Source organism: Homo sapiens, chromosome 2 (assembly GCF_000001405.40).
Source record: "Homo sapiens chromosome 2, GRCh38.p14 Primary Assembly".
NCBI lineage: Eukaryota > Metazoa > Chordata > Mammalia > Primates > Hominidae > Homo > Homo sapiens.
The window spans coordinates 57,737,028-57,744,824 of record NC_000002.12 but is presented as its reverse complement, the minus strand read 5'-3'; the positions used below and the strand labels follow the sequence as shown (position 1 = coordinate 57,744,824).

The 7,797-nt window shown below is 34.7% G+C and overlaps 1 annotated feature.

The window, feature by feature from the left end:
- Positions 3,205 to 3,405: a silencer, noted in NCBI's record as "peak3705 fragment used in MPRA reporter construct". NCBI's record gives its function as "represses an SCP1 promoter by STARR-seq MPRAs in K562 erythroleukemia cells {active_cell/tissue: K562}" and the evidence as "EXISTENCE:reporter gene assay evidence [ECO:0000049][PMID:32103011]".

The following is a 7,797-nucleotide window of genomic DNA, read 5'->3' as shown; positions in this document are numbered from 1 at the left end:
GTTGACTTCTTAGAATAAAGTTGTTCACTTCATCCATCACTGCCTACATAGCTATTATTTAAGAGTGTTCAACTCATTGGCCGAAAATATCCACACCCTGGAAAAACTTGCCTGCTTGCTTGCTTTCTCTCTTTCTTTTTCTTTCTTCCTTCCTTCCTTCCTTCCTTCCTTCCTTCCTTCCTTCCTTCCTTCCTTCCTTCCTTCCTTCCTTTCTTTCTTTCTTTCTTTCTTTCTTTCTTTCTCTTTCTTTCTTCTTTCTTTTTTTCTTTCTTTTTTCTTTCTCTTTCTCTCTCTCTTTCTCTCTTTCTCTCTCTCTCTCTTTCTCTCTTTCTTTCTTTTTCTTTTCTTTCTTTTCATGGAGTCTCACTCTGTCACCCAGGTGTTGCATAATGCTCTAAATAAAAGAAGATTTAATTAAAAATGTATCTGCTACCATCACTAATATGCAGTCATGTGTCTTGGGCAATACTTAGGTGGCAAACTCCTCACCCCAGTGTTTGTTAAAATAGCTAGTTGTGTTAGAATGGTTGTGACTTTTCTGCAAAGAATTATCTGTTAGAAATCTGCTCCTCTGAAGTATTTTATCTACCCCTCCGTAAAGGCTATACTCATTCTGTTTTTTTCTAAAGTTTTGAATGGAAGTTCTATTACCTACCACTTAGCCTGGTACTGTTGACTACAAGATATCTGAGTTTTAATCTTGGCACATATATAATTGTAAGGCAGGCCTTCTGTATAGTCTAAGTTCATTTTAATCAGAGTTACAGGTTCCATTCAGTTCCTCGGTGAAAAAGAGAATAGTCAAAGTCAGAAAGGAATTAGGAGCTTTTTAAAAAGGTGCTTTAAACAGCTCATGTTCCCCAAGCCCTCAAAGAAAGTTACAAATCAAGAGAGCACAATTGGCAGCTACATTATCAAAGACCTTCTGATAATGCTACCATTAACATTGAATAATATTGTTTAATGGGCTTTTTAAAAGCAGCCATCCTTTGGATCTGACACTTCAGCATGATTATTTTCCATTCCCATTTAAAGCTACAACAATCCCGTGATAATTATAACATCCGTTTCCATCTGGAGTTCAGGGGACTCATACATGTGAATATGGAGAGACAGTTGAGCATCTTTGGTTTAGAAAGTGGACATTAATTTGAAATTTGTAACAACTGCCATTTTTATTTTAGTTTAAATAGCCTATCTGAAATATCCTCCCACCAGGTCTTTTTTGCCACCAGCAGGTTGTGGCAGTTTTCTACGTAAATTGGCCTCATGATTGTGCTTTTATGGACACTAAAAATATAAGAGTAGAAAAATCATTATCACTCACATTTTCTTTCCTGTAAACTGAGATAATTTCAAAGACACTATTTGGTCATTTCCTATGAATTGTCATTTAACAAAAATCCAAATATCTTGGCATTAAATTCATTCATTTCCTAATATCTCTCAATTTGTTTCTAAGAAGCAAGCATTCTCATTACTAGTTGCATTTTTTACAAAAACAACAACCACAAAAAAACAGGGCCAATGACAGTGCTTGATGCATAGTAGTGCTTCGAAATTTTTCAAATATTGTTGAATGGATGGTTTTACAAATATTTAAACACTCCATTAGGATTTTTATTTAAGTGAAGTTTTTATGAAATTTTTATTAGGTGAAGAATTACTAGGTTAAGCCATATGAAACTGCGTTTTTGTAGGTAAAGAAATCAAGTATCGACAATTTCGTATGTTCAGTTTAATACATTCGAAGACAATAGCTTTCTCTCTGATGTATCTTCTTGGTAGATAAGAATGTTTTTGTTTTTTTAAAATGGAATTAAATCATTTTTCTACCTTAACTATAGTAACGCAATGAAGAAAGCCAAAAATGGTGGGATCGGTCTAACTGAAGTAAAATATGACTTTTATTGACGAACTGTGTCTATTTTATCAGCTACAAAGGGTGGAAAATTTACATGCGCTAAAACAAGTTTTTTGATTTGACAATTATTAATCTAATTACAGACTCTGTTACATACTTTAGCTGAGGATTTGATATCAAAGTCACGTTTCTTTCTGGTAAGACCTTTCACCGACTTGCATTTTCTTCCATTGGGAAACCCCATCTCAAGAGTTGGGTTGAATTGTGTCTGTTCAGCCAGTCAAATCTAAATCCTATAGAATTGTCTAGCTGTATATCTTCGATATTTTTGGCAGTCCTCTTCTTAAGTTTATAGAAAAATTAGCATATTAATGGTGAGATTTATAACCTTTGCTTGATATCAGAAATTTAGACTGGAGGGATATACTGTGATGAAGTGATCTGCAGTAATGATTTAAAGTTCTCGTGTGTTGTTCCTGAATGTTATAACTAGCAATGGGTGCACTGATTCCTATAAGACATTTTAGAAATGTGCTTTCAATTGTGTTACATACTTTCTACCTTGACTTCAAGATGGACTGGTCGTGCTTAGGAATTCTTGGGGATTTATATTTATTAGCTTAATAAGATATACTATCCCATGAACCCACACTTTCAAACTAATATGGCTACCACTTTCTCACACATTCTTCATTTTGAATAAAACCTGACTACTAGTCACCTGAAGGAGGCTAAATATTATCAGAGTAGTAAATTTGAAATTCATTTCACACTCTTATTTTTTTCTTTATAAATCACATATACTGATTGTCTTTTATTTTTCATTTATATAGCTAAATATTTTAAACTTTTAACTGATTAGCATTAATAATGTTACTAATTTCATTTTTTTATAGTGAAAACCATTGGGGGAAAATGGAAACTCAGTAAATTTCCTTCAATGAGGGCTGACTTTCCTTAGTGTGAGAATGAGAATCCAATCAGCCCTTTGTGAGGCTGTGATGTCCTCTAAATATACAAAACATAGGATGAGATAATTGAATTTGGTCTCTGGGGTTCCAAGAATAGCACAACCTGGGAATGCTGGTGTCCTCAAAAGAGCAGGACAAAATTGCCACTCATATAATTCATATAATCCTCATTTTCAAACTCGATTCAAACTTTTGCACTAGAATCCCACGAACAGCGTTCTTTAGGTAGTGAGAACACATACACCTCCTTCCTTTTTTTTTTTTTTTTAAAAGAAGGTACGATAAAGAAGGGATGGTTGTGCCATTTTACATTATTTCCTTTATATTACAGTGGGAGCTCCCAAACTAAATTTTGAGTTTCAGGCAAACACATTGTGAAATAGCCAAGATATTAAACTCCCCTAAGTTAAGAGGATCTTGGAGTGACCTCCAACTGTAGTGTGGCTTCTGAGAAGCTGTAATTAGGGTTCATGAGATGAAATCATGCAATTCTGGTTAGCGTTTGACTCATCGCAGAAGTCTTATTGCGGGGAACAAATGGGAATATTTTAGAGTCGTAAAGTGAATGATAGAAACTAAACTTTTATCTTCTTTGATTACATGGTAGAAAGGGTTAAAATTCTCTATGTAGATCACTGAAGTTTTATTATATAAGATGACCTTAGGAACTGTCATCTCCCTTGAATTTATACAAAGAATTCAAAGTAAAGGTTTTCTAGGTTACACTTCTTTTTTCAACCCTTTGTCCTGTCAGCTCAGTCCTTGATATCTTCATCTGCCGACATGCCCAGATGTGCAGTGAATGTTGATTTGAGCTGGCCCCTCAACCCCTCCCTGCTGGTGTCATTAAAACCAGGGAGGCAGCGGCTCCCCTGGCATCTTTGGCACGGCTTGGCTTTACACTGCGGACTAAATTATTGATGAAGAGCACTTCTGTCGCAGTGTGTTTTACCCACCTTTAAATGAAACAGTGTGGATTGAGCTGTCACTGCCTCCTCACTCCCTGCAACTTCTACATGACATTTATGATGTGGTTCAGATTGCACCGAAGCAATTAATTTCCAGTAGAGTCTGCACTCAGAATGAAGATCCCTGACAATTACTGAGGGCTGGTTTCTCAATGAGCACACGACACACTCATCAATACCGTACACAAAAGGAAAACATCAAAATATATGTAAAGACGTCTCTGGGATTTGTGATCCTTTTCTCCTCTTCAAATCTACTTCTGGGTACTGACTTTGTGTCTGTATTGTGCATTTGGTTCACCTCTGTCTTTTTCTGAAAAGATGGGCGGACTTACCTTCCCAGCACGTATTTTAGATATGCCTGCCAAAATTGTTTAAAAATTGTATTGGCTACTCTGTATGGTTATTCTATTTGAAGCTTTTGTCTGTTTTTACTGATAAGGTATTCTTTGATATTTGCATTTAGTTTCTCAAGTGATTCTGTGACCCTCACTTATTTTTCAGTTCATCCAATGAATGAAATAAGCAGCATATATATACATATGTGTCTCTGGGTAGATGTATACTTGAGTATGTGTACATATGCATGTGTATATACATATGTGAACATATTTTTAAAAGAACACAATAAATATTTCCAAACATATGCAATTTAATATTTGATCAATTATAATAATTTTTTGCCTATTTCTTTTAAAAAATTGTAAAATATTCAGATTAACTTGGAGAAGAGTGATCTTCATTATATAACATTTTAAAAGACATAAATTTTAGTATTTTGAGAATGAGATGATGTCAACCTAGGCTATTCAGATCATTTTAAAAGTTCTTCAAAATATTTTGTTGAATAGATTTAAAAATATTTGTAATTAGCCTATCTATTCTTCTGAAGGCTTAAATATAAATTATCTTAAATATTTCCCCTGGATTCCTGTTTGTCATTGTAATTTCTGCAGTTAACTTTTCTTTCATAGGTAGTCTTCTGTTTTGTCCATACTGCCTGATACTCAGCAAAAGTGTCTTCTAAATTAATGAGTTTTTAATTTTCAGTTTTCTCATTTAAATGCCTTGCTCCAGAGCCAGTGGTTAAAATGCACATGTAACTTGGCGTCGTTCTGTGCTGAGGTGCTTCTGGAAAGCAGCAGCATCATTGTCTTTATTACAAAGGCACTACACAGCTAAGCATTAACGAGTGGAGACTTCCAGTGGACTTCAAACAGGATCCAGGAAATAACTTGTGTACCAGGAGATGGCAGTTTGATTAGATATAATGTATCAATCAGTTAATGGAGGAATCTGGATAACCCCAAGAAACATCACCACAACCTTATGAAAATCCAACAGTGGGTTAGGAGGCACTTTATATGGCAGTGTACTTTCTCTTATGCCTCCTGTCCTCAGTACAGCTACACTTCTAACATTTAGTGGCCAAAGGACGGGAGAATACTTGGTGTATTTTCCTATTTCAAATTTGATATTTTTCCAGCCCTGTTGAAATCAAGAAAGATGAAATGTCTCTCCTTAGTAGTCAGAATTTAATCTCATTCTTTTTTATCTTTAAGGCTATTTATTGTAATAAATCATTTTTTCGGTACTTTAAGAGATCAGATGGTTCAGAAAGATAGATTTCAGGGAAAAAAAAATCCCATCTTAGTATTACCTACTCTTGCCTCAAATAATATCTGTATTTCAGAGAGAGAAAGATACAGTCTATTTTGGGCTAAGTTACAAAACAACAACAAGCCCAAAATGATAACCCACACTGGTTTTGATCAAGATATTTTGGACACACTTGTATGTATACTCAAATAAGTCGATTATACTAATTAGTATTATACTAAATAGTATTATGCTAATACTATTTGGGGATATCTTTGAGTAAATTATACCTTATTGACCTAAGAAGTCTATGAGAAGACTCCAAAATTAGAAAAAAATTCTAATTATGATTTATCTAGAAAATGATAATCATGATACCATTTTTGAGCACTTATCCCACTTACTACCCACCAAGCTTTATCTCTTTAATTACAATGACTTTAAAAACAATTTTTGAATTTTTAAAATTTTTTTTAGAGAGATGAGGTCTTGTTATGTTGTCCAAGATGCTCAAGCAATCTTTCCACCTAAGCCTACTAAGTAGCTGGGACTATAGATACATGCCACCATGCCCAGCTCACAGTAACTTTTTGAGACACTTTTATCATACTCATTTAACAGGTGAGGAAAGCAAGGCTTAGAGAGGTTACATGACTTGCCCAAGGCCACAGAGTCACTAGCAGGAAAGTCAGTATTCTATCCTAGGTCTTCCTGATAACAAAGTCTACCGTTTACTGGTTTACTATACTAGATTCTTTGCATTTCTTTTAAGATTCACTTAAACGCCTTATTATGGTGGGTATACCTTACTCTGTTTTATATGGTTCTTCATTTCTAGAGTTATTAATTTTTACTTATGTAGAATAAAAATGGTTAAGCTATTCTAGTCACTAGTTCAATTTTTGACTTTGTAGTTTGAATCCAGGGCCCATTCTTCACCTTTCTCTCTCTCATGTAATACAGATAGTAGAGACTGGTTGCCTACTACCAATGGATACATAAAATCACGACCAATTGACTGTTCTAAAACTGCACAGTTCATGCTTCAAAGTGTTTGTTTATATAGAGAAAGTAAAAGCAAAAAGTTCTAAGCTTCCAAGCTTAGACTATGTATCTAATTATACAAATAATTTATACTAAAATGCCACTATTATTTAATATTCGGACAAAGTCTTTTCCTTTTAGTCTCCATATTGTACCTACATCCCCAGTAAATCATGGATCTTAAGACTTTCATTTCTTCCTATCATTTTAATTCCTTCCACTCATGTTGTGTCTCTGTAATTGGCTTCTTTTGGGCCACTGAGTCAGATAACTGGAAGTCTTCTAAAATGAATTTGACAAAGACTTCGGGCAACCCAGCAAATCATCTTCAAACTGTTGTGTTTCTCATTGCCCCATGGCCATGAAGTTGCGAATAAAATGTTTTCTCATTACATTGGAGTTGTTAATATAAAGAATAAGTAAATAAATTTACTTGTTACAGGCTAAAAATCTGACTATATATTTTAAGAAATTTAACCTTGTGGGGAGGGGACAGGTGGGGAATCTCTCTGATAATGCGATACACTTTAGTGGAGATAGAATCTGAGTTTAGAGACCTGAAGTCCACATCAAAGGTGTTCTATTTACTTGTTCTATAATCCTGAGCAAGTCAATTAGCATCTGAAACTGCTTCAACATCTATAAAACGAGGATAGTTTTGTCTTTTGAGGTTATTAGAATTTTGAAAGGAGGTAATATATGTGGGAAATATTTTCAATGGTAAATTGCTAGGTAGATATTAGACTATTTAAAATGATCAAGGCAAGATAGAATTTATGTATCTACCTTGATATATAAGAACAGAGGTGGCAGCCTAGGGTAGATACAGTGTCTCCACGCTCTGTCCAGGGACCCAGTCTCCTTCTTTCTGCTCTGCCATTTTTAGCTCATGGCTTCGATCCTCAGTGTCATCTTATAGCCTAAAACTGACTGTTAGAGGTCTAGTCATTATATGTACCTTTCAGGCAGATAGTAGGAAGGAAAGGGGAAATGACCAAAAGAGCCAAAAAGGAAGACTAGGGGAAAAAGAATTTTCCTAGAACACCATCCTATGATTGCTGCCTGTAATTTGTTGTGAGGCTGAAGAATGTTTTCTTTTAGCTGGGTACATTACTGGAGTTCTCTTGGTAAATGAGAAGATTATGAATATTGTGTAGACAACCAGTGCCCTATGTCTTGGGATTATGTGTGATTTAGATTTTCTCTGCAGTAGACTATGTGGACTACAGTTCAAGGACTATATTTATTTGATACAATGGTGGTAATTAAAACAAACTGGTGTATAATTTTAGCCTATTAAATCATGTTACCCTAAAGATTTCCAAATTGGATGTTTTTTCAGTTACCATTT